Source organism: Homo sapiens, chromosome 16 (genome assembly GCF_000001405.40).
Source record: "Homo sapiens chromosome 16, GRCh38.p14 Primary Assembly".
Classification (NCBI taxonomy): domain Eukaryota; kingdom Metazoa; phylum Chordata; class Mammalia; order Primates; family Hominidae; genus Homo; species Homo sapiens.
In genome coordinates this window covers 297,578-323,701 of record NC_000016.10, presented here as the reverse complement: position 1 = coordinate 323,701, position 26,124 = coordinate 297,578, and the positions used below count along the sequence as shown (strand labels likewise).

General features: G+C 54.0%; 1 protein-coding gene across 13 annotated transcripts in view, besides 5 other annotated features; it reads left to right on the top strand.

Moving 5' to 3' along the window:
* The window catches only part of AXIN1 (axin 1), a 65,284-nt gene that overhangs the window by 29,022 nt on the left and 10,138 nt on the right, over positions 1-26,124 (top strand). For 4 of the 13 annotated variants that reach the window (NM_181050.3, NM_003502.4, XM_047434732.1 and 1 more), the window contains 4 exons: positions 9,019-9,159; positions 13,633-13,729; positions 19,261-19,398; positions 25,451-25,980. In NM_181050.3, the coding sequence (NP_851393.1) occupies positions 9,019-9,159; positions 13,633-13,729; positions 19,261-19,398; positions 25,451-25,980 (906 nt within the window). The other 9 variants (XM_011522683.3, XM_011522682.3, XM_011522686.1 and 6 more) reach the window with 6 other exon arrangements.
* Positions 4,698-5,451: an enhancer, noted in NCBI's record as "H3K27ac-H3K4me1 hESC enhancer chr16:368251-369004 (GRCh37/hg19 assembly coordinates)". NCBI's record gives its function as "activates a minimal SCP1, AML or CMV promoter by ChIP-STARR-seq in naive H9 embryonic stem cells {active_cell/tissue: H9 hESC(naive)}" and the evidence as "EXISTENCE:reporter gene assay evidence [ECO:0000049][PMID:30033119]".
* Positions 5,452-6,203: an enhancer, noted in NCBI's record as "H3K27ac-H3K4me1 hESC enhancer chr16:367499-368250 (GRCh37/hg19 assembly coordinates)". NCBI's record gives its function as "activates a minimal SCP1, AML or CMV promoter by ChIP-STARR-seq in naive H9 embryonic stem cells {active_cell/tissue: H9 hESC(naive)}" and the evidence as "EXISTENCE:reporter gene assay evidence [ECO:0000049][PMID:30033119]".
* Positions 6,204-6,957: an enhancer, noted in NCBI's record as "H3K4me1 hESC enhancer chr16:366745-367498 (GRCh37/hg19 assembly coordinates)". NCBI's record gives its function as "activates a minimal SCP1, AML or CMV promoter by ChIP-STARR-seq in primed H9 embryonic stem cells {active_cell/tissue: H9 hESC(primed)}" and the evidence as "EXISTENCE:reporter gene assay evidence [ECO:0000049][PMID:30033119]".
* Positions 13,259-13,773: an enhancer, noted in NCBI's record as "H3K4me1 hESC enhancer chr16:359929-360443 (GRCh37/hg19 assembly coordinates)". NCBI's record gives its function as "activates a minimal SCP1, AML or CMV promoter by ChIP-STARR-seq in primed H9 embryonic stem cells {active_cell/tissue: H9 hESC(primed)}" and the evidence as "EXISTENCE:reporter gene assay evidence [ECO:0000049][PMID:30033119]".
* Positions 13,774-14,288: an enhancer, noted in NCBI's record as "H3K4me1 hESC enhancer chr16:359414-359928 (GRCh37/hg19 assembly coordinates)". NCBI's record gives its function as "activates a minimal SCP1, AML or CMV promoter by ChIP-STARR-seq in primed H9 embryonic stem cells {active_cell/tissue: H9 hESC(primed)}" and the evidence as "EXISTENCE:reporter gene assay evidence [ECO:0000049][PMID:30033119]".

Genomic DNA, 26,124 nt, shown 5'->3' with positions numbered 1-26,124 from the left:
TCACATAATTCTCCTGCCTCAGACTCCCGAGTAGCTGGGACTACAGGCACCTGCCACCACGCTTGGCTAATTTTTTGTATTTTTGGTAGAGACAGGGTTTCACTGTGTTAGCCAGGATGGTCTTGATCTCTTGACCTTGTGATCCACCCGCCTCGGCCTCCCAAAGTGCTGGGATTACAGTTTTGAGCCACCGTGCCCCGCCTGTTTTGTTTTGTTTTTTTTAATCTTATTTTGGCTTTTTTTCTTTCTTTTTTTTTTTTTTTGAGACGGAGTCTCGCTCTGTCGCCCAGGCTGGAGTGCAGTGGCGCGATCTCGGCTCACTGCAAGCTCTGCCTCCTGGGTTCACGCCATTCTCCTGCCTCAGCCTCCCGAGTAGCTGGGACTACAGGTGCCCGCCACCGCACCCGGCTAATTTTTTGTATTTTTAGTAGAGACGGGGTTTCACCGTGTTAGCCAGGAGGGTCTCGATCTCCTGACCTCGTGATATGCCTGCGTTGGCCTCCCAAAGTGCTGGGATTACAGGCATGAGCCACCGCGCCCGGCCTCTTTCCTTTTCTTTTCTTTTTTCTTTCTTTCTTTCAAGACAGGGTCTTGACCTCTTGCCTAGGCTGGTCTCGAACTCCTGGGCTTAAGCAGCTCTCCTACCTCAGTCTCCCAAGTGCTGGGATTTCAGGCCTGAGCCACGCTTGGCTCTCAGTTTTGGGAAGCAAGTGGCATTGGCATCCATGGCCTCTGCCAGGTGACCGCTCCCTGCCATCTGGTGCCAGAGCCCCTTCCCTGGACATGACTGCAGACCAGAGCTGGGACGCAGCTGCAGGCCATGGCTCACCTCTTCCCCCAGGCCACTGCCCGCCATCCTCAGAGGCCTTTTCTGCCTGTGTTGCTTCTTGCCAGGCTTTTGTGTCTGCCAGTGTCTGGGCTCTAAAGGATGCACTCATCCGTCCACCGCCCACAGCTCCAGAAAATGAAGAGGGTCCCCGGGAGCCAGCGATTCTGTGTGTAGGATTCACCCACCATCCTCAGTGGCTCTGTGGGACTCAGGTGGCTGGAGACACATGGATGGGGTATTGAGGGGCAGACGCACACCCGAGTCTGCATGGACTCTTTGCCTCGCGGACAGCCAGGTCCCACTTGCTTTGGAGAGGAGGATGTGCAGCCCAGGGGATTCTGCCTCTGTGCCCAGGTGAGGCACAGGTCAGCACCAGCACCTGCCATGCTAACTCAGCTCCTGCACAGGCCTCCCACACCTGTGCAGAGGAAACACAGCCGTAGGAGCACATCTGTCCCCATACCTGAGCACAGGTGCACACTCCACTGCGGGCAGGTACAGGGTGATGGGTTGAGGGGAGACATACTCAGTCATGAGTTATTGCCTCCCGTTAGACCGCACTACCAGCAGGGCCATCCCTGGAGCCTGGGGTGTGCGCCATGTTCCCCAGCTGCCCCTCGGTCACCTCCTCCTGGAGCCTGGGGTGTGCACCACTGTTTGCAGCCACCCTGCCCTGAGCCAGGCCTGGGAGAAGCACCCAGCCTCACGCCTGCGGCATGCGCTGCCTGGGTTTCCCTGGCCACAAGACGGGGCTCTCTGTGCTTCTCAGAAGGTCGTGCATCTTTGGGTCTGTGCGGCCACCTCCGTCTTCATGTCCAGCTCACTTGGAATTGGGCTTTCATTGGCTCATTCCTGGCTTATCATCCAGGGCTCACAGATGTGTGTTTCCAGCCATTTTACTAATTCCAGCCTCTGTCTTTCAGAATACAGCTGGTCTCTAACTTAGGATGGCTCCACTTAGGCCTTTTCAACTTTACAACCAGCCTGAAGCATTCAGGGTGCCCGTCAACGAAGGGCAAGGCTGTGTCTGGATAACACTTTGAGGTTGGAATCCACTTTCCACCTCATATTCCCAGCTATGAGAGGGTTTAACCCTTCGTGGGTTGGAATCCACCTTCTACCTCATATTCCCAGCTATGAGAGGGTTTAACCCTTCGTGGGTTGGCATCCGCCTTCTACCTCATATTCCCAGCTATGAGAGGGTTTAACCCTTCGTGGGTTGGAATCCACCTACCTCATATTCCCAGCTGTGAGAGGGTTTAACCCTTCGTGGGTTGGAATCCACCTTCTACCTCGTATTCCCAGCTATGAGAGGTTTATCAGGACACAGCCTTGTCGTGAGTTGAGGAGCTCTGTGGTTGGAGAAAAAGGCGATTTGCCTTTCAAAATGGCTATAATTATTTTACGTGGTGTACTGACCTGTGCTGCTTAAGCAAAACCATCAGAACTTACTTTTAACAACACAGAAGTCTTGGCGGGGTGGGGCACGTGCTATGCAGAGCTCTCCTGGGGCTGCTGTTTGCTGTTTCCCCATAGTGGTTGTCACCAGCAGGTGCCATGTGGTGCCTTACTACCAGGGAGGGTGGCGGCTCCTGCCTGGGTATGGAAATGTGGTGCCTTACTACCAGGGAGGGTGGCGGCTCCTGCCTGGGTATGGAAGGCACAGAGAGCAGCGGGCCCAGAGCATCCCAGAGCGTGGGTAGCAGGAGGCAGGAGGGCCTGTAGCAGTGGTTTCGGGTGATTCCCAGGGCCAGATCTACCTCCAGCCTCCTCTTCCCATGTTCTGGGTGGCATCCGTCACACCAGGTGGTCTTTTGGCATGAAACATTTTTTGTGGGCAGGCGCAGTGGCTTAAGCCTGTAATCCCAGCACTTTGGGAGGCCGAGGCGGGCAGATCACAAGGTCAGGCGTTCGAGACCAGCCTGACCAACACGGCGAAACCTTGTCTCTACTAAAAATACAAAAATTAGCCGGGCGTGGTGACGTGTGCCTGGAGTCCCAGCTACTCGGGAGGCTGAGGCAGGAGAATCGATTGAACCCAGGAGGCGGAGGTTGTAGTGAGCCGAGATCGCGCCACTGCACTCCAGTCTGGGCGAAAGAGCGAGGCTCCGTCTCAAAAAAAAAAAAAATATATATATATATATATATACACACACACGCATATACGTATGCATATATACATATATACACACATATATACATTTACATATATACATATATATTTGTTTTTAATTTTTATATTCTTGAGTGTACTTAGTAATTTTAAAGGTAATTGATGAGGAAAGCTGGAACTCTCTCAAATTTGCACGTGTGTGTTAAGGGATGTGGAGGGATGCTGTGAAGCTTGACCTGTTTCTAAATTTCTCCATGAAACCATCACAGCGAAGCATCATAATTTTGTGTAACTTTTCTGTTTAGATTTTATCCGCCCCTATGTTGCATTATTGGTGTTGTCATCTTACCTTGCTGGAATCCTTTTAAAGCATTTACCCCTTTGCAGTTCAGTAATTAAAATGATCTGATTTGTGGCCAGGCATGATGGCTCATGCCTGTAATCCCAGCACATTCGGACACCGAGGTGGGCAGATGACTTGAGCCCAAGAGTTCAAGACCAGCCTGGGTGACATAGTGAGACCTCATCTATATAAAAAATGAAAAAGTAGCCAGGAGTGGTAGTGTGCGCCTGTTGTCCCACCTACCTGGGAAGCTAAGGTGGGAGTCCAGGGAATAAAAAAGAAAATGTCAGTGCAGGAAATGCGTTGCTTGTGAGTGTGTGGGGGGCTGTCGGTTCTGAGGTTCTCATGCGGCCTGGGAAGAGGCAGGTGTGATGTGTGGGATTGAGACATGTCCAGGCACAGGAACCAATGAAAGAACTGTACAACATTTACTTTTTCAGAGGGAGGAAATGGAAAGCAAAAAATACCCCAAAGAAGGCAAGAAAGAGCAAAAGGAAGTAGAGCAGATGTGATAAACCAACCCGATCCGACGGTGGCCCAGCTCCCTCCACATCACACTAAATGTAACCGGACCAGACAGCCTCATTAAAAGGAAAAATTGTTATGCTACCTTTTTAAAAGGCAGGCTGCTTACACAAGTAGAAGAATATAGAATGGTTAAATGTGAAAAGACGGAAGATGAAAGTACCACAGTGACCAGAGAGCCGGTGCCGTGGCCATGCTGGATGTGGGAGCAGCCGCGGGAGTCCCAGAGAGGTGCCTTCCTGGGGCAGGAGGAGCACCTTTCTCCACCATCCATGAACACCTGGGCAGGGGAGACCTTCTGTGTGGCCCTGACATTTGGGCCTCCTAGGCCAGCCTAGAGTGCACTGGCCGCCTCATGGCTTCTCATTTCCTGTTGCCTTGAAGCTAATAGGGTCCTTGTAGCTGTCAAACCCCACAGGTGTTTGTTTATGACACAGCTCCTGGGCATTGATTCTGCCATCAGCGCCTCCTCACCGCTCCACTGGACTTTCCCTTCTGTGATGGGCACGTTTTTCCCTAAGTCACCGTGTCTTCTCATGCCTCCTCTCCACGACATTTTTGTTTTTGAGACAGAGTCTGGAGCACAGGCTGGAACACAGTGGCGTGATCATATCTTACTGCAGACTCCCGGGCTCCAGCGAGTCTCCTGCCTTACCCTCCCAAGTCGCTGGGATTCTAGGTGTGCGCCACCACACCGGACCCTAAAGAAAGCCTTTGAACACACAGAAGAGTTGCGAGGAGTCTGTCACTACCTGGCTCTACAGGGTCTCCCAGCCTCTGTGTCCCCGGACTCTGCCTGAGTCCTGGCACCTGTTCCAGAAGAGCTGTGCACGTTTTCCTGTTTGAGGTCATCAGCGTGGGGGGCTGGGCACAGCTCTCACCAAGTCTCCGGCCGCATTCTCTCCGCACAGCCAGAGCCGCTCTCACCAAGGCCCCGGCCGCATTCTCTCCACACACAGCCAGGGGTCAGAGCCACTCTCACCAAGGCCCCGGCTGCATTCTCTCTGCACAGCCAGGGGTCAGAGCCGCTCTCACCAAGGCCCCAGCCGCATTCTCACCGCACACAGCCAGGGGTCAGCATCTCCACTGTCTGAGAAGTGCAGGTGTAGGTGGAGGTGCTCGTGAAGGGCGGGCATACAGGTGCACACATGGGCATGCGGGCGCGCACACAGATGGATACGTGGGCATGCACACACAAAGCACGCATCCATAGGCGCACGCACAGGCAGGCACGCGAGCACATGCCCCTCCCGCCACTGGATCCCAGCTATATGGGGGGATCCTGGAACTCCCATGTGACCTCCCCTTGGACGTGTCTTTGACCAGAACGTTCTTGGTCGCATCTGCTGGTAGTGAAGGCCAAGCCCGGCCGCCTGTGTCTTCAGGTACAGGAGCCATCTGAGTGCTGAGGGCAGATCCTGAGAGCCAGGGCAGTTGTCTGGGATTGTTACGAAGATCAATAGTAAACAGGCTGCCCTTCTTCCTTTTCTTTTCTCCCAGCCGCCTTCTCCCGCTTCTCTCCCCTTTGCTGCCTGACCTTGGTGCTTGTGTGCAGTGGAACTTGCTGTGTGCTGGAGCTTGTGGAAAATGGGAAACCTGCGTTTCTCCTGCTTCTCATTTTAAAGACAAACAGGTTTTCCAAAAATGTGAAAGGCACACCTGGGAAGTCAGAGTGGGAGAAGGATTTGGAATTGGACACATGAACACAGAAGGCTTCGTTCTGCTGTATGTGGCTCCCAAGTGACGGGACAGGTGTGAGCCCCATGGCAGCATGAGGGCAGGGCACGTGCTTCCAGTGCGTGCCAAGACAGACACGCCATGTGCCGTGGGCTACAGACGCGCCGTGTGCTGTGGGCTACAGACGCACCAAGTGCCGTGGGCTACAGATGCACCCGTGTGCCGTGGACGTAGACTTCTTAAACTTCTGTGCGGCAGTGGCCTTCTCTCTTCCATTTGAAATGTTTTTATTTGGCCAAATAGATGTTTATAGAAAGTTACCAAAGTTCAGTGTTCCTTCATAGTAATAGGGAGACTTTAGTACTTAACCTGAGATCTGAGGTTGGCTGCAGTGGTTGTTACAGTGATAATATCAGTAGCTGCTGAGCAGCTGTGGCTTTAAGTATCAAAGGAATAATGGTGTCATTTATAAATACTGCATGATGCTTAAAGCAAAGAGCCTGAAGCTGCAGGCTGGTATCATTTTATCTGCTCTATGTCAGGTACAGAGAGGAGACGAGGAGTGAACCAAACTTACAAAGCCCAGCCACCGGTGGTCGGTGTTTCCAGAGAACCCATTTCCCAAGAGCGGCCCCATGGTTGCTGTCAGCCTGAGGCTGCCGTCACCTGGCCGTGACTGTCTGTGGCCTGCAGTGAGCGACCAGGCCACAGTGGGTGGGTCAGAGGGACTCGTGGACATCGGCCCTGGCAGGGGCCTGACATCGTGAACCGTGTTTTCCATTGTGGCATGGGGTCCTGCACCTGCCTCCCGAGCAGCTGAGCACGGTCACCAGCACTGTTCGTATGAAAGGCCCTGCTTGTGTGTTCTGGCCCCATGCGATACCCTCCAGAGGGCATGGAGGCCACAGCCCCAGGGGAAATGGCCCCGTGCAGCGAGGCCCTGCCCAGCACCGCCACAGGCTGTCCCCAGCTCGCAGTGCTCGCTCATCTCCCCAGGCATCCCATGTCACCAGAGTCCAAGGTGCTGGGCTGCCTGCCCCCCTCCCATCTTGTCAAAGGGCCTTTCCTGGTGTAAGTAGAACTGGGGCTTTCCCTAGGTTCTGTTCATCAGGTGGATGGCTGGAAGCTGCGCTGGTCCCTCCCTCCACACCAAGGACTCTGATGCGCAGGTGTGCTTGCACCTCCGACATGGCAGTTCCTCCGGCCATGTGCACGTGGAGGGCGGCCCATTGTGGTAGCCTTGGGAGGTGTCTTGGTTATCTTGTGTCACTGTGACCTGTGGAGATCCAACTGAGGTAGTCATCACCCCTCGGGGGACACATTCCAAGACCCAGGTGGAGGCCTGAAATGCGATAGTACTGAACCCTGTATATACTGTTTTCCCCTCTGGGAACACACCTCTGATCAAATTTAACTTACAAGTTAGGCACAGTAGAGACTAAAAAAATTGTGAATCAAATGGAATGATTGTAAGGGTGCACTGTGATAAACCCCCTGTGAGGCTGACGACTGTCAGGGTGCAATGTGATAAACCCCCTGTGAGGCTGACGACTGTCAGGGTGCACTGTGATAAACCCCCTGTAAAGCTGGTCTCTTTCTCTCGCAGTCTTACCGCTCTGTGCGCACCTAGTTTCAGACCTTGGCTGAACGCAAGTAACTGAAACTAGGGAAAGCAAAGCCGAGTGGGGGCAGCCGCTAGAAGGAAGGGGCAGCCTCAGGGCACACTGTGGGGCTTGGCAGTTAGGGACCCTGCAGAGTCCACATGCCAGTTGGTTGGCAGCACAGCAGAGCGCCCGGAAGGGGCACATGCCTTTGACAGGAGTTAGATGTGGTGGAGAGAGGCGCTTAAAATTATTGAGGACAAGATGGGTTATTTGGTATTTAATGCTAACAGCTGTATCTCCATTTTGATGTGAAGGAGTGAGCTAGATTTTATTTATTTTTTATTATTTTATTTTTTACCTTTAGGCTCTGCTGGACTGGCCTAGATTTTGTATACACACATTTCAGGTGAAGGTCTAAAAAAAACTGGAGCATATAAAGAAAAATAGAATATATGTGTAATTCTGGAATAAGGAAGGACTGTGTTTCCAAAATAGAAAATAAATAAATAAATAAAGGAAAAGATTGGAATATCTGATTGATTTATTTATTTTATTTTTGAGACAGAGTCTTACTCTGTCGCCCAGGCTGGAGTGCAGTGCTGCGATCTCAGCTTACTGCAATCTCTGCCTCCCGGGTTCAAGCGATTCTCTTGCCTCAGCCTCCCAAGTAGCTGGGATTACAGGTGCGTGCCACCACACCTAGCTAATTTTTGTATTTTTACTAGAGATGGGGTTTCACCATGTTGGTCAGGCTGTTCTTTTTTTTTTTTTTTTTTTTCTTTTGAGACAGAGTCTTGCTCTGTCACCCAGGCTGGAGTGCAGTGGCGTGATCTCAGCTTACTGCAAGCTCCGCCTCCCAGGTTCACGCTATTCTCCCGCCTCAGCCTCCGAAGTAGTCTGGGACTACAGGCGCCCGCCACCACGCCCAGCTAATTTTTTGTATTTTTAGTAGAGACGGGGTTTCACTGTGTTAGCCAGGATGGTCTCGATCTCCTGACCTCGTGATCTGCCTGCCTCGGCCACCCAAAGTGCTGGGATTAAAGGCATGAGCCACCGCACCCGGCCTGTCTGATTTCATAGAAATGAAAAATTTTGTTTGACCAAAATCAACCTGAGCAATGTTAAAAAGAAAAATGACATTTAGGGAGAAAATGTTTTTTGCGTATATAACCAGAGATTAATAACAAGTCTATTTGAAGACTTCTGTAAATCACCAAGAAACTCATAATCCACCCCATAGAAAATGGTAAACCATATGAACAGATAAAGAGGAAGAAGTTTAAATGACAAATACGCTAAACTGCCAATCTGACCATTAATCAGGGAAGTGCAGATTGAAAAAAGGTGTCATTTCCTGGCTAATTTTGCAGTAACAAGAGGAGGTGAATCGTCCCAGGAGCTGGGGAGGAACCTCTGCTCTAGGTAGGGGGACAGGAGGTGGCACCACCCACACACACTGTCACATACCGGCCCTGACATCAGTCCCGTGGCCATGCTTGGACTTGGGCACAGGTGCAGAGACGTCTGAGCTGAATCCCAAGGGCCTCATCCTGATCAAAACCCAGTGTCCTCTCCCGACGCGCACTGCAGAATGAGCAGAACATCTGCGTCCCATTTCTAGTACCGTGCACGGAAAACAAACCCAAATGATCACGTGTGGATGCTCTGTGTGTGCACCAAAGCCCCCGCCTAAAATCAGAGGAGAGATCTGGAAAGATGCCCGGTGCTTTAATGCACCCCGTTGAAAAGGACAGAGGGACAAGAGGACAGGTGGAGATGTTGGTCTTTTCTCCATGCTCCTTATTTTCTCCAAATTGCTTGTGTTTTTAATTAATACATTGAGATATTCAGATAACATGAAAATGTGAAATAAAATGAGAGGCTGTTGGCAGGCTGTCACTAACATGCCCTGCTTGCCTGTTTGCAGGTATGGATCCTGGCGGGAGCCAGTCAACCCCTATTATGTCAATGCCGGCTATGCCCTGGCCCCAGCCACCAGTGCCAACGACAGCGAGCAGCAGAGCCTGTCCAGCGATGCAGACACCCTGTCCCTCACGGACAGCAGCGTGTAAGTCCCGCCCCGGATACCCAGTCCCTCACGGACAGCAGTGTGTAAGTCCGGTCCCAGACACCTTGTCCCTTGAGGACAGCAATGTGTAAGTCCTGCCCCAGACACCCTGTTTCTTGCGGATGGCAGCGTGTAAGTCCCACCCTGCTGCAGAGCGCGGCCAGCTCAGAGGGGGCTTCGTGCTGACCCAGAGATGCCTGGGCTTTGTCTTCAGGAAAAGTGTTTCCTGGCTCCCCAGGTCTCAGTGAGAGTGCGTCTGGACATGCAGGCAGGCTGTACCGCAGAGGCTGTCCTCCAAGCAGTACAAGTGAGGGCTCAGCTTTGTGTCGGTTGCTTCTCTCTGTGACCAGGGCTGCTGGGACCTCCCTATGAGGAAGGATCGAGGGTGAACCTAAGACAGTCTGTAGGCTGCCCGGGCTAGAGTTTGCTCTTTGGTTTTCAGAGTCTGGGGTTTCAGCTTAAAGACAGGCACAGGCCAGCTGCCTCACCACTGGCTGTGGCGAGTGATGTGGTCCCTGAGGGTGGCGTTTCTGCCGACGCTGGTGCAGTACAGGGTCCTGTCTTGTCCCTGTCACCCACTTGGCAAGGGGCTGGGAGCAGGAGTGAGGGAAGATGCTGTGGTTGTGCTGAGGCCTGGGCCACACATGTGTGACGCTCGAGGTGACAGGCAGAAGCTTATTCTTTCATTGTCCAGGGAAACCCCATGTGTAGGAACGTGCTTGTTTTATGACCTCTTCCCCTGTGCTTCGCAGCTGGCTTTTTGGGACCTATGTACACCCCAGCCATTAGATGATGCCAACAGTCTTGTTGCAGTAGGGCACTGGCTGCCAGCCTGTGGGGGTCATTTGGGGTTTTGGTTACCCATGAAGCTCAGACCTTCCCAGCTCTGGTCTGTGCGCCACACGCCACCTGCCCACCAGCCATCCTAGCCAGGGCTGGGGCCGAGCCGCAGGAACCAGGGTCTCCCTGCAGCAGCCTCAGCATTGGAGGAAGCCAGCGGCTATGAACTTGTGAGCAGCTGGAGCCCGCGGACCACCACCCTCCATCCCCACTGCGGCCAGTGGTGTCCCAGATGTCTTTCCCGCTTAGCTGGGTTCTCCATGAGGAAAGCCTGGAGATCTGGATAGGGCTGGAGGAGGAGAGAGGGACTTCTCACCTACTGGTGATTCTGCCCATCTTTTTATGAATATGTTTTAAGTGATGGTCCCACTGTATGTACCATTTTTATGGTTCTTTTCATTTTGAGACAGGATCTCACTGTCACCCAGGCTGGACTGCAATGGTGCGATCTTGGCTTACTGTAGCTTCTGTCTCCTGGTCCCAAGCAATTCTGCCTCAGCCTTCAGAGTTGCTGAGGCTACAAGCGTGCGCCACCACGCCTGGCTAATGATTATTATAATTTTTGTGGAGACGAGGCCTCACTATGCAGTCTCGAACTCCGAGGCTCAAACGGTGCACCCACTTCAGCCTCATGAGTGCTGGGATTACGGGCATGAGCCACTGCATCCGGCTGATGATGATGATTATTTTTGTGGAGACGAGGCCTCACTATGCAGTCTCCAACTCCTGGGCGCAAACTGCACCCACTTCAGCCTCACGAGTGCTGGGATTATGGGCATGAGCCACTGTGCCTGGCTGGTTTGTTCTTTTCATTTGCCTGTCTTTAAACATTTTTCCAAAACCTGAATTTCAGATGAGGAGAACAAGTTGTCACATTCTGTTTCTGAACCAGATTCAGCCAGCCCACATTGCCGTAGGTCTTGGCCCCTTGGTTTTTCCCCAGGTAGCTGTGGTAGTGCAGGGGCAGCTCCCTGCCCCTTCCGGGCAGAGCTGCTGTGTGTGGCTTCTCCTGGTTTCTTTCATCCTCGTTTAATTTTGAATCTTCAAAATAAAATGTTGACGTGATTTTAGCAGCACCTGACTTGAGGTTACTGGAGTTGAAGCAGTGCCTGCCGTGGTCCTGAAGCCTCGGGCCAGGTGGTTGGGTGCAGTGCAGCCCACGGAGCGCCTGACATGCATCCTAGCATCTGGTTTCCCTCTTCCCCAAAACTCTGTTACTACAACAAAAAGTAACCTGCCAACTCAGTTTTCTCAAAAAGTCTCCTAATTCTCTCCAAGAAAAGGGACATATGTTTCCTAAAGGGAGGACCTAAAATAAATAGGTATTTTTTTTCTTGATATTCTGTTCATCTTGGTTTGTACTGAAGTGTTTAACAATTTGGAATGTGAAATTGCTACACGTACTCGAAAGCAAATCAGAGGTAAAAAGTGGACAGGTGAAGAGCATCATTCCGGTGGGGCAGCTGCCCTCAGCTTTTGTGCTGGCGGCAAGCTCACAACATTCCACATGGCACTCGAGAGGCTGTGGGCTGTGGACACAGATGTGGGGTCAGTGTCTAATCCACGGAGGCCTGTGGAGGTTACCCAATCCAAGTATCATGTCTAAGAAACCAGTAGGTTGGTGGCTTCAGGACACTTCAACAAACCCCGAGGCAAGTGTTAGGTGAGTTTTAGATTCACTTGTTCCTGACGCCCACCGTGGCTGAGCCAGACCTGGACTCGGCTCACCATTGCCCACAACACTCAGTGGTGCTGTGACAGCCGAGGATGCCTCAGGAGTTGCCGTGTCTGCCACGCAGCCCTGGGTCGGGCGCTCTCTTCAGTCGTCCTGTGTCTCCTGGCAGCTCTGAGAGGCCCCTGGGTGCGGCACGGATCCCTGGAGCTGCCGTGCTTCCGAAGGCAGCTTTTCTTTCTTTCTTCCTTTTCTTTTTTGAGACGTAGTCTTGCTCTGTTGCCCAGACTGGAGTGCAGTGGCACAATCTCGCCTCACTGCAACCTCCGCCTCCCGGGTTCACGCCATTCTCCTGCCTCAGCCTCCCGAGTAGCTGGGACTACAGGCACTCGCCACCACACCTGGCTAATTTTTTGTATTTTTAGTAGAGACGGGGTTTCACCGTGTTAGCCAGGATGGTCTCGATCTCCTGACCTCGTGATCCGCCCGCCTCGGCCTCCCACAGTGCTGGGATGACAGGCATGAGCCACTGCGCCCAGCCCGAAGGCAGCTTTTCTAATAGCTGGGAGAGGGCGAGGGCTTTCATGAAGGATGGTTGTGCGTGAGTTATCTTAACCCTGGGGTAATTATTCAGACCATGTATAATCTGACTTTCGTGTTTTAATGATCTTCTAAAGGGTTCATAAAGAAAACCTGTTGCGGGCTGGGCGCGGTGGCGCATGCCTGTAATCCCAGCAGTTTGGGAGGCCGAGGCAGGCGGATCACGGGGTCAGGAGATTGAGACCATCGTGGTTAACACAGTGAAACCCCGTCTCTACTAAATAATACAAAAAATTAGCCGGGCGTGGTGGCGGGCACCTGTAGTCCCAGCTACTCGGGAGGCTGAGGCAGGAGAATGGCGTGAACCCGGGAGCGGCTTGCAGTGATCCGAGATCGCGCCACTACACTCCAGCCTGGGCGACAGAGCAAGACTCCGTCTCAAAAAGAAAAAAATAAAAGAAAACCTGTTGCTAAAGAGCTACCTTGTGCCTCCCTCAGAGACCACACTGCCCTGCCAGCTCCTGGAGAGAAGCAGAGTGTGCAGCCTTGGCATCTCCTATCTTTCCGTGGGGCACTGGTTGTCCTGGCTGCCCACTGTGCAATCCTGAAATGTTTTTGGTCCATTTAGCAATGCCCTCCAAGGCAGGCACACTGCACAGTGGTCTAGGCCACAAGCAGGGGCCAGCAAACGTTTCCCGTGCAGGGCTGGCAGTGAATATGTGAGGCTTTGCAGCCGCATGCAGTCCCTGTCACAGATTCTTCCCCCACCCTTTAAAAATGTAGAAACCTTGGCCGGGCGCCGTGGCTTGCGCCTGTAATTACTCCCAGCACTTTGCGAGGCCGAGGCGGGCGGATCACGAGGTCAGGAGATCGAGACTCTCCTGGCTAACACAGTGAAACCCCGTGTCTACTAAAAATACAAAAAAATTAGCTGGGCGTGGTGGCGGGCACCTGTAGTCCCAGCTACTCAGGAGGCTGAGGCAGGAGAATAGCGTGAACCCGGGAGGTGGAGCTTGCAGTGAGCCGAGATTGTGCCACTGCACTCCAGCCTGGGCGACAGAGCGAGACTCCATCTCAAAAAAAAGAAGAAAAAAAAATGTAGAAACCACTCTTAGCTGTCAGGCCCTAAAGAACAGGCAGGCACAAGGAGGCTTTGTGGAGGTGCCCAGTAAATACCAGCTAGGAAGACGCGTGGCTGGGCACCTGGGCTTTACCATCACGTGTGAACCTTTGTGTGTACATGTTCCCCTGTGCACACATGGGTGCCTGCATCACCTGTGTGCACGTGTCTCAGTGGTGGTGGCTCACAGGTGTCCTCATCATTGCCTGCTGACCGGCGGTCGGGGCCAGGAGCTCTATTGGCACGGTGCTGGCCCTCCTGCTCCTCTCTGAGTTAACGGCTGCCTCTTTCTCCTGGACAGGGATGGGATCCCCCCATACAGGATCCGTAAGCAGCACCGCAGGGAGATGCAGGAGAGCGTGCAGGTCAATGGGCGGGTGCCCCTACCTCACATTCCCGTAAGTACCGGCTTTGCGGTCCTCAGCCCATCGTCCTCCCCGCTCAGCGTGGGCCTGGTGAACTGGTCCGCGGGAAAGGCACTTGCCTGGCCTCCCACGAGCCAGGCTTACCTCTAGGCGTAAGCGTGTGATCCCAGCAACATCTGCAAGTGGCCAGTCCCTGAGGGCAGCAGGGGACATCAAGTCTCAGGCAGCATTTAGGGCCCAGAGGGAGCTGTTCATTCAGAAGAGCCCCCATGCCCCAAGGCCACACCCTCCCTGGTGGCAGGAAGTGTCTTGCCTTGTGAAGGTGGATGCTTCCCCTCAAGAGGGGGAGCTCTGAGCCTTTCTCAAGACTCAGAGCCCAGGCCTGGCCCCTGCACAGCCCTTGGGGAAAACTTGGTGTTTTTGTGGCTGAACAGTGGTCGTCTCCAGGTAAACGTCTTGACTTTAAAGCTGCCTTGGCTTTCGCTGTTGCATAGAATAATGGCACCTTTGCCCAGTCTCGGGCATGGGGGCTTGGCTGGGCAGTAGGTCATGGAGCTGAGTGCTAGCTGGAGCCCAGCACAGCCTGACTCCGTCTACAGAGCATTCCTGCGCTGATGAACAGATTAATGATCTTTCCTTATTTTGATGGGTTGACTTTGAACAGGAAAGATGTTACGGGAAGATGAGAAAAGTGTTTTCTTTTTTTTTTTTTGAGATAGGAGTTTTGCTGTCACTGCAAGCTCTGCCTCCCGGGTTCACGTCATTCTCCTGCCTCAGCCTCCCGAGTAGCTGGGAGTACAGGCGCCTGCCACCACGCCCGGCTAATTTTTTGTATTTTTAGTAGAGATGGGGTTTCACCGTATTAGCCAGGATGGTCTCGATCTCCTGACCTCGTGATCCGCCCGTTTCAGCCTCCCAAAGTGCTGGGATTACAGGTGTGAGCCACTGCGCAACGCACTGTTAGCCGCGGTGTCTGAGGTTAAACCACGTGACCATCTGAGTGTCTGTGCAGGGAAGTAGGCATTTTGAGAGCACTGACACAGTCTTGGTCAGGATTTCTTAGCCTTTTAGCTTTTCTGCAGACATCAGTTTCCAAGTCAGGAATTTCTTTATGGTTGAAAAGAAAGGATGTTGGTTTGTTATCACTTCTGAGAAGATGCCAGCCAACCCTTGACTCAGGTTTGGCTAAAACTAGGCACTGATGGTGTCTACTTAACAAAAAGTGGCTGACACTGTAGGCTGTGTGTGGGTGCGTGCGTGTGTGCGTGCTTGTGCTGTGGAAGATCTGGGGCCCTGCCTGCCAGGCATGGCCCAAGGCTATCATGAGGTCACAGCCCAAGTCGAGGGCACCTGCACAGCCACCGGCCTCTGATTTTCAAGTCACAGGTCCTGAACGTCAAGAACCCGCGGAGCCGCTGGGATGACGGAGGCCCGAGAGACAAGACAGCTGAGCAACCACAGGCCCGGAACAGCCCTCTGTGCCCATGAGGACGGGGCTTGAGTGGGCTGAGGCCCGCGGGAGGCTTCTGTCCACAGGGGTGCCCCGATTTTGGGGTGCTGGTCAGAGTCTTCGTGTGTAGAAAGTGCATGCCACAGACTCTGGATGAGGGGGCATCAGGCAGACAACCTCCCCTCAGAAGGGTCAGGAAGGACAGAAGCTGTGGAGTGCGTTGGTGCCTGGAACGTGGACCTGGAAAGACCTCTCAGGATGCAACACAGAGAAAAGAGGATGCCTATGGCGAGTCCCTGGTGTCGTCGTCAGAACCTTCCAGAACCGAGGGAAGCACAGAGCCCTCAGGTCCTGGAGGGTCACATTTGAGTCGCCAGGAAGATGAAAGCCAACAGAGGCGGCAGGCACAGACAGGAGCAGGCCCTGCTGCGTTCCGCACCCCCAGAGGGCCCTTGTGTGGTGGGGTGGGGGCCGCAGTGTGCGTTTCTGTGTGAACAGTCTGCAGCAAACAACCTCATCGGAGGCTCTGTAGGAACCTGCATCAGGTCCATGTGGCCTGTCAGGTGGGGCTGTGGTTGGAACCTTCGGTGGGAGGTCCCTCAGCCAGAGGCCCAAGTGAGAAACCCACATCACGGGCACAGCTGCCCGGGGCCTGCTCACTGCTGCTACTGGGAAACTGGACCCGAGGATGGTGGTGAGCAGAGGCGGGGGGAGGCCCAGGAAGCCGATAAGCTAGCAGGACGTGCCGTGGTTGCACTGCCCACTTCTGCTCTGTTGAGGGCCTTGGTTTTGCAAAAGCTATGCCGTTTCTCTGGTGAGTCCATGGCTCTGCAGCAGGGACAGCAGGAGGGGAGTAGCTTAGACGCTCATAGGAGCAGAACCCTGTTGTGGCTGCACCCACGGAGGCCCAGGCTGTGTGCACCTTGTGAGACTCTTTAACACCTGCCCATCAGAGTTGGAGCAGGTTCATCCCGAAAAGCCCCCTGCCCCCACTGTCCATGGAAAAATTGTCTTCTACAAAACTGGTCCCTGGTGCCAAAAGGTTGGGGGCCGTGGCTTTACAGCATCTGGTACCAGAATGCGTGCCCTGCGGGGAGGGGCCTCTTCATCTTTAGCCTTTACAATTACTTGGAAGTTTCACGTTTTCATTTACTTGGCTTTTTCCTTTATGATATTTTTTTCTGTTCCTCTAAAGCTGGAGAGGTTGCCATTCTCTGTAAATCTGATGACTCTGACAGTTTTGCTGTTCTCAGAACCGTGGTGACGCAGCCTGCAAGGCCACCTGGAGTCTTTTTATGGAGCTCGCGTGGCGGCATGAGTGCTCCTGTTGGCCCCTCAGCCGTGCTGCTCTCTGGGCCTGATGATGGGCTTTTCATCCTGCCCTTGGTCTCTGTGGTGCTGACTGTTCAGACCATAAGCGCGTCTGTCTGCGCCTCTGGCTGTCTGCAGACACAGCAGCCGTGGTCCCTGCAGTGCTGGCAGCTCCCATTCCTGTGTGTGCCACTCCCACGTCTGCGCCTTGCCCAGCACTGGGCACGGAAAAGCCAGCATGGCCCCCCAGCCACCCAGCCTCCAGGCCCCGGGTGCAGCGGGAAAGGGTGGCTTGTTAGTTCCTTGCCATCTGTGTGGACGCCCTGCCGTCCACACACCCGGACACACCGGCCCACATCCCTGCTGGTGCCAGCCCCAGCCTTCCTCATCATCTTCCAGAAGCACTGGATGCTCCTCCTTGGCTCCGGGACAGACCCCTTCCTGGCGCTGTGCACGGCCCAGACTCCAGCAGTGACTTTTCCCAGCTCTGAGGCATCACCCAGTGTCCTGGGCGTGCCCTTGGCCCCTTCATACTCCACGTTCCTTGAAGTGAAGCCTGTGGCTCCAGGGCCAGCCTCTCTCTGAGCCTCGTCTACTGTGGAACATCTGAGCCTGGAGGAGGCCTTTTGTGTGGCCCCTGTGTCCAGTCTCACCCCATCCTTCTCAGGTTTAGATGCTGTTTCTACTCTCATTGTGTAGATGAGAAACGGGTGCACAGAGCCAGGACTGCGCCAGAGCCCACGGCGGGAGGGCAGGAAGGCCACACACACGGAGGGTCCCACCTCCCATCTGCCACCCTGCTTGCTTGTCACAGGGGAGCTGTCCCTGGCTGCATCCCTCCGCGGCTTAGACACTGGCGGCCTGGATTTTAAAACATGTTTTGCTATGAAGGATGTTATTGGAGCAGCTGGCAAAATTGGAATAAGATCTGCCACGTGATGTTATTGTATCAGGGTCAGTTTTTTTAACCATCCATATTTGTACTGTGGTTAGGTATGAGAGCGACCTTGCTTTTGTTAAATACACTCTAACTGGTTCAGAAAAGTGAGCGTGCCTGTGTGTGTGCGTGTGTGTGTACGTGTGTGTGGGTGTGTGTGCCTGCGCATGTGTGGGCATGTGTGTGTACGCATGTGCCTGCCGGTAAGGGGATGATAAAGCAGTTATGGCAGAATGTGAGCCCTTGGGGAATCTGGGTGAAGGTGGACGGGAATTCCTTGTTCTATTTTTGCAGCTGTTTTGAAGTTTGAAATTTAAAATGAAGTACCCTTGAAAGTTACACAGGGCCAGGCGTGGTGGCTCACACCGGTAATCCCAGTGCTTTGGGAGGCCTAGGTGGGAGGAGTTTGAGGCCAGCCTGGACAGCAAGACCCCCATCTCTATTTTTAAAAAAAGCTATAGGGGGGCCGGGTGCAGTGGCTCACGCCTGTAATCCCAGCACTTTGGGAGGCTGAGGCAGGCGGATCACGAGGTCAGGAGATTGAGACCATCCTGGCTAACACGGTGAAATCCTGTCTCTACTAAAAATACAAAAAAATTAGCCGGGCATGGTGGCAGGCGCCTGTAGTCCCAGCTACTCGGGAGGCTGAGGCAGGAGAATGGCGTGAACCCGGGAGGCGGAGCTTGCAGTGAGCCGAAATCGCGCCACTACACTCCAGCCTGGGTGACAGAGCGAGACCCTGTCTCAAAAACAAAAACAAAAAAAACCAAAAACAAACAAGCTATATGGTATATTACTATAAAATACATTGCAGATGTATTGTTATTATTTTGAGACAGGGTCTCACTCTTTCACCCAGGCTGCAGGGCAGTGGCATGATCTCGGCTCACTGCAGCCTTGATCTCCCAGGACTTATGCGATCCGATCCTCCCACCTCAGCCTCCCAAGTAGTCGGAACCACAGGTGCCACCACACCCGGCTAATTAAAAAAAATTTTTGTTTGTAGAGATGAGGTCTCACTTTGTTGGCCAGACTGGTCTCTTAATTTCTGGGCTCAAGTAATCTGCTCGCCTCTGCTTCCCAAAATGCTGTGACTGTAGGCGTGAGCCACCACCTGGCCTTTAGATTCTTTTAAAAAGGAAAGCCTGCCTTTCCCAGACCTCCCCTGTCCTCCAAATCCTGGGCGTCCTTCCCTGCCGTGGGGCCTCGGGGGCCTTCTGCTCACACCTTCTGCAGGCGTCTCCTCGAGTGCTTCTCTGAAGTGGGTGGGGAGCGCCGGCTGTGTGTCCTGAAGCTGCCCTGCTCAGGCCTCTTGATCTGGTAGTCGGGAGACGCTGGAAAGAAGCAGCCCTGTCTCCTGGGTCCGTGGGGAATGAAGGACAGACTGGCCGGACACGAAAAGGGGGACCGTGAGGAAGTTGATTCCCAACTGAAAGGAGGAAAAAGTAAACTCTTGCTTTAAAATACAACAAAGGCCGGGCCCGGTGGCTCACACCTGTAATCCCAGCACTTTGGGAGGCTGAGGTGGGCAGATCACCTGAGGTCAGGAGTTCGAGACCAGCCTGGCCAACATGACGAAACCCCATCCCTACTAAGAATACAAAAATTAGCCAGGCGTGGTGGCGGGCACCTGTAGTCCCAGCTACTTGGGAGACCGAGGCAGGAGAATCGCTTGAACCCGGGAAGCAGAGGTTGCAGTGAGCCAAGATCACGCCATTGCACTCCAGCCTGGGTGACAGAGCAAGAGTTTGTCTCAAAAAAATAAAATAAAATACAACAGAGATAGCACACGCTCTTTCCCTTCACAAAGAAATGTTTAGCCTGTGACCTTTCAACCCCCGTGCCTCACAGTCCTGTCCCTCGCAGCGCACGTACCGGGTGCCGAAGGAGGTCCGCGTGGAGCCTCAGAAGTTCGCGGAGGAGCTCATCCACCGCCTGGAGGCTGTGCAGCGCACGCGGGAGGCCGAGGAGAAGCTGGAGGAGCGGCTGAAGCGCGTGCGCATGGTGAGTGGGCCGCGTCGGTGTCGCGCTCCGCGTCGGTGTCGTGCTGTTTTCTTGCCGCCGGGATGTCCTGATGTTCTTCATGGGGATGCCCGGGGCTGGCCGAGGCCTGCTGACCCATGAGGCCTCCCGGCTGAGTCCCCTGTTCCCCTTTCTCTGCAGCCGAGCCCCAGCTCAAGATGGGATGTCCCAGCGGCCCCATGCCACCCTCAGAGGCCCAGAGACCCACCTTGGTCACCTGCATTGAAGGGGCCGGGGGTGACACGGCTGCCTGCTGTGTACCTGATCCTTTGTGGGTGGCAGGGCCACAAGCTGAGACTGCAGCGGGTGATCTCAACTTCTTCACCCCGTGTGGCTGGCAAGTGAGATGAGCATGTGCAGAGCAGGAAGGGCTAGTGGCGTGCAGTCGGGGGCTGCGATGCCTGAGACTTTCTGCCACCTCCTGGTCACTTTTGGTTCCTTGAGGCCATGGTGCACGGCCCTCTAGGCACTTGTGTTGTAGGACTCTTTGCTTAGTTCAGCTAAAAACAGGTCCCTTTCACATGGCCACGAAAAATTAGGCTCACAGACAATTCGAAGGGTGAGAAGGACAGAGTTTATTGGGTGAAAAGGTAAAAAGGGAAACGGGCGGGCGAGTGGCTCACACCTGTAATCCCAGCAATTTTGGGAGGCCGAGGCGGGCGGATCACCTGAGGTCAGGAGTTTGAGACCAGCCTGGCCAAAATGGTGAAACCCCATCTCTAATGAAAAATACAAAAATTAGCCGGGTTGGTGTCAGGTGCCTGTAATCCCAACTACTCAGGAGGCTGAGGCTGGAGAATCGCTTGAACCCAGGAGGCAGAGGCTTCAGTGTGCCAAGATTGCGCCACTGCCCTCCAGCCTGGATGACAAGAGTGAAACTCTACCTCAAAAAAAAAAAAAATCACTTCCCGCAAAGCCAGAGTTCTGCTAGTGTGCTTCCCGCCTCGCAGATTGAATCCCAGGTTCCACCTAGGAAGACGCGGGGCCTGGCTCCTCCCCGCTGCAAATGGTGCAGACTTCTGTGGCTCCACCCCAGTGTGCGCTCCTCCCAGTGCGCAGGCCGGCTGGAGTTTCTCTGGAGACCCCTTCCCACCTGGTCGTCTCACTTGCAAGGCTGCCTTTGCTGGCCGGGCGGGCAGTGCACACCTGTGACCCCAACACTATGGGAGGCTGAGGCGAGTGAAGCACTTGAGCCGAGGAGTTTGAGCCCAGCCTGGGCAATGTGGCAAATTCCTGTCTCTAGAAAAAATTTCAAAATTAGCTGGGCGTGGTGGCACACACCTGTGGTCCCAGGTATTCAGGAAGCTGAGGTGGGAGGATCACTTGAGCCCAGGAGGTCAGGTCTACAGTGAGCCGAGGCTGTGCCACTGCACTCCAGCCTGGGTGCCAAAAAAAAATGCCTTTGCTTTTCTCTTAGCCAGATTAATTCCTATGGGAGGTCAGTGGGCACCATCGAGTCGGGGGGTGGTCCTTCATTCTCCTTTCAATGTTCGTGAATATGAATACTTAGAAAATGTATACACTTCTGAGCGTTTCCATTCACCTGATCCTTGATGTAAAATGCAGACCTTCAGCTCTCCTCAGACCACAGGAGACCCCTCGGTACACTCACTCTTTCACCCGCTACCCGGGTGAGCTGTGCCCTGAAGCCTGGAGATGCCACCGTGAGGGTGGACGCAGGGTGCCGCTGGTGGTGCCCATCTGGGAAACCGTGCGCCGGGCACTCCATTGAGATGGCAGGCAGACCTTACATAGCTCGTTGAGCAGCTGGGATTCATGGCGGGGACCAGGTGTGGTCGCTGCAGATGGTGGAGCTCCCCATGAAGGGGTTTGTGTGGAAATGTCTCACACACAGACGTCGATTTGTTTTATCCTCAGTAAATTGTTTTGCCACCATGTGGAGCTGCATCCTCTCGTCTCCCCTGGCCGTTGGTCTGAGGGTGACCCTCATCTGGGTAGGGCACAGGTGTGGGTGGTGCCAGCTCCAGGGCTCTGCAGGTGCCAAGTTCACCTTCTCCACAGTCCCCCAAGGAAAGGACTCAGGGAATTTGTCCTCCAATATCGGGAACCTAGCCGGGGCCGCAGGGCTGGCAGGAGCAGCATCAGTGCCGCGTGGTCCCTGTGGCGGTGAGAGTGAGGCCTCGCCTTGCAGACCTGGTGGTCACTGGAGCGGCTCGCTTGCTTCCTGGGGTGGCCCTGAGGAGGCTGGCTGTGCGCACCTGAGGCCAGCGGCATTGGGGCCTGCCTGGGAGCCTTACTGGGCTGTTGTCTGAAAACCAAACATTGGGAACAGAGTTACCAAGAATATGGACATGTCCGCAGGCCACATCCGGGCCCACGGGCTGTGACGTCAGCATCATCATTTGGGTGGCAGGTGAAGGTTAGCAGCCCTTAAACAAACATGCTCACAACAGAAACGTAAGAAAGGAAGCCTTTGCTGTTTTGCTGCCGTGTTGGCCGCTGTCATTTTCTGCAGAAGCCTTTGCTGTTTTGTTGTTGTGTCGGTCGCCGGCCGCTGTAATTTTCTGTGGAACGCTTTGCTGTCATGTTGGCCGTCTGTAATTTTCTGATCTTTGCGCCTTCACCCGTTCGCAGGGTGTGCTTCTAGTAGGGCAGGTTCCCATTTTGAGTGAGACATTTTTTAAAAAAAATATTTTTGTAGAGATGGAATCTTGCTATATTACCCACACTGGTCTTGAACTCCTGGCCTCAAGTGATCCTCCTACCTCAGCTTCCCGAAGTGCTGGGATTTCAGGCACGAGCCACCGTGCCTGGCCTTAAGCAAGACATGTTAAAGGCAGGCGTAGCCACAGGTGCTGAGTGTGTGGCTCTCACCTGTGACTCTCAAGGCTTCCCCACCCCATGGAGTCCTGGCTCTGTCCCAGCAACAGGGAGCATGGCAGTGCCCACAGGTGTGTGGATCCAGCACCACCAGGGCCCAGGAGTGGTGGTCCTTCCCTAAAAGGAATAACTCCAGTTTTTTTTTTTTTTTTGCTTTGTTTTGTTTTGTTTTTTGAGGCAGAGTCTCGCTCTGTCGCCCAGGCTGGAGTGCAGTGGCACGATCTCAGCTCACTGCAAGCTCTGCCTCCCGGGTTCACGCCATTCTCCTGCCTCAGCCTCCCCAGTAGCTGGGACTACAGGCGCCCACCATCACGCCCGGCTAATTTTTTTGTATTTTTAGTAGAGACGGGGTTTCACCATGTTAGCCAGGATGGTCTCGATCTCCCGACCTTGTGATCCACCCGCCTCGGCCTCCCAAAGTGCTGGGATTACAGGCGTGAACTCCAGATTTTTTAAATAACCTATTTTCATTGTGAAATTTGGGAAATTAAAGCACAAAGAAGAAAACAAAAACCATTAGCCGAGTGGTTAAGTTAATCTGTAACATTTCACAGCCCCATGATAGAATTCCTGCCGATGTGGAGCTCGGCCAAGGCAGTGAACGGCATCAAAACTCCAAACACTTTTAGTCCCTAGGAAGACCCTCGGTTAAGATTTCTCCCCAGAGTGCCCGGGCCCTTTAGTCCTACAAAACCAAGGAAAGGGAGGCAGCATAGCTGCATCCGCCAGGGGATGCCCACCACCCACCTGTCCCCCGGCTCTGCTCCAGCATCCGTCTGTCCTCTTTAGTGCCATATTTCACCCTCAGCCCCAGTGCAGGTGCCCGCAGCCAAGCCCACACCAGCTCTGGGGCACGCCTGTTCCAGTTGCATTTGGATACTTTTGCAGGTGTGAGAGTTGGGTGCTAAACGTTGGGAGGTTTGTTTATATTAAAATATAGAGGTAGGTGGGGCACAGTGGCTCACATCTGTAATCCCAACACTTTGAGAGGCCAAGACAGAAGGATCACTTGAGGCCAGGAATTTAAGAGCAGGTTGGACAACATAGTGAGATTCCCCATCTCTACAAAAAAAAAAGAAAAAGAAAAAATTAATGGGACATGGTGGCATGCACCTGTAGTCCCAGCTACTTGGCAGGCTGAAGCAGGAGGATCGCTTGACCCCTGGAGGTTGAGGCTGCCTTGAGCTGTGATGGCACCACTGCGATTAGGTGTGGTGGCTCACACCTGTAATCCTAGCACTTTGGGAGGCCAAGGTGGGTGGATCACCTGAGGTCAGGAGTTCGAGACCAGCCTGGCAAACAGGGTGAAACCCAGTCTCTACTAAAAATACAAAAAATTTAGCTGGGCATGGTGGTGGGTGCCTGTAATCCCAGCTACCCGGGAGGCTGAGGCAGGAGAATTACTTGAACCCGGGAGGCGGAGATTGCACTACAGCCTGGGACACAAGAGTGAAACTCCGTCTCAAAAAAAAATTAAATAAATAAAAATAGGCCGGGCACGGTGGCTCACACTTGTAATCCCAGCACTTTGGGAGGCCGAGGTGGGCAGATCACGAGGTCGGGAGATCGAGACCATCCTGGCTAACACGGTGAAACTCCATCTCTACTAAAAATATAAAAAATTAGCCGGGCGTGGTGGCGGGCACCTGTAGTCCCAGCTACTGGGCAGGCTGAGGCAGGAGAATGGTGTGAACCCGGGAGACGGAGGTTGCAGTGAGCCGAGATCGTGCCACTGCACTCCAGCCTGGGTGACAGAGCGAGACTCTGTCTCAAAAAAATGAAAATAAATAGGCCGGTTGTGGTGGCTCACTCCTGTAATCCCAGCACTTTGGGAGGCCGAGGGTGGTGGATTACCTGAGGTTAGGAGTTTGAGACCAGCCTGGCCAACATGGTGAAACCCCGTCTCTACTAAAAATACAAAAAAATTAGGCAGGCATGGTGGCACACTCCTATAATCCCAGCTACTCGGTAGGCTGAGGCAGGAGGATTGCTTGAGCCCGGGAGGTGGAGGTTGCAGTGAGCCAAGATCGTGCCACTGCACTCCAGCCTGGCTGACAGAGCGACTCTGACTCTAAATAAATAAATACATACATAGATACATGGTAACTTAGTTCCCTCTCTTTCTTTTGTATTGACACCAGATTTACTCAATACTGTTTTAGTTTGTCAGTCCAATAAGATGAGAAAATAAGTATGAGATGCAACTTGGAATTAAAGTGATCAAATGTTTGCTCTGACAGATAAGCTTCAGCACCTGTTAACTTGGAGAATCAAGTGAAACTCCACCGGCTTCATGTGGAAGCTCGTCAGGCAGCATCACAACATGTACATAACCCAAGAGCCGTTCTGTACAAGGTTCTCCTTAAAATATAATGGGAGGCCGGGCGCGGCGGCTCATGCCTGTCATCCCAACACTTTGGGAGGCCGAGGTGGGTGGATCATGAGGTCAGGAGTTCGAGACCAGCCTGGCCAACATAGTGAAATCCTGTCTCTACTAAAAATACAAAAATTAGCTGGGTGTGGTGGCGCACACCTGTAGTCTCAGCTACTTGGGAGGCTGAAGGAGGAGAATCACTTGAACCCAGGAGGCAGAGGTTGCAGGGAGCCGAGATGGCACCATTGCACTCCAGCCTGGGTAACAGAGCAAGACTCTGTCTCAAAAAATATATATATATACAGGCCAAGGCAGGCAGATTGCTTGAGCTCAGGCATTCGAGACCAGCCTGGCCAATATGGTGAGAATCGCATCTGTCCCCAAAGTACAAAAAAATTAGCTGGGCGTGGTGGCACACGGCTGTGGTCTCCGCTATTCTGGAGGCTGAGGTGGGAGGATCGCTTGAGCCTAGGAGGCGGAGGCTGCAGTGAGCTGAGATCACACCACTGTTCTCCAGCCTGGGCAACAGAGCAAGAACTTGTCTCAAAAAAAGAATAAAACTAAACTAAATCTGTGCAGAGCTCTGCCCACAGCCGATACATACGCTGCATTCCTTGAGGCCTTGCTGTCTCCGCTCCTTCTGTCTATGCCCCGTCCTGCCTCTCCATCCTCAGGGACAGGACCGGTGGCGAGGGGCCCCCGGCCACCCTGGGCTGGGACGGCATCTGCTGGGGCTGCTGGGTCAGGCCTGATGCTTTTTGTTTTCCCCAAGTGTGCAGCTGGTGCTGAGAGGTGATGGTGCTGCTTGTCCCCACACAGGAGGAGGAAGGTGAGGACGGCGATCCATCGTCAGGGCCCCCAGGGCCGTGTCACAAGCTGCCTCCCGCCCCCGCTTGGCACCACTTCCCGCCCCGCTGTGTGGACATGGGCTGTGCCGGGCTCCGGGATGCACACGAGGAGAACCCTGAGAGCATCCTGGACGAGCACGTACAGCGTGTGCTGAGGACACCTGGCCGCCAGTCGCCTGGGCCTGGCCATCGCTCCCCGGACAGTGGGCACGTGGCCAAGATGCCAGTGGCACTGGGGGGTGCCGCCTCGGGGCACGGGAAGCACGTACCCAAGTCAGGGGCGAAGCTGGACGCGGCCGGCCTGCACCACCACCGACACGTCCACCACCACGTCCACCACAGCACAGCCCGGCCCAAGGAGCAGGTGGAGGCCGAGGCCACCCGCAGGGCCCAGAGCAGCTTCGCCTGGGGCCTGGAACCACACAGCCATGGGGCAAGGTCCCGAGGCTACTCAGAGAGTGTTGGCGCTGCCCCCAACGCCAGTGATGGCCTCGCCCACAGGTGAGCGTGCGCCTGTCAGTGAGGAGGGGGCTTGGGGTGAGGCTGTGTCCCTGCAGAAGGCCAGAACCTCCTCATAAAACTCAGGAAACCCAGGACCGCCAGCAACAGGCAGGAGGCCCCTCTGCTGGAGGGAGTGGACTGGGC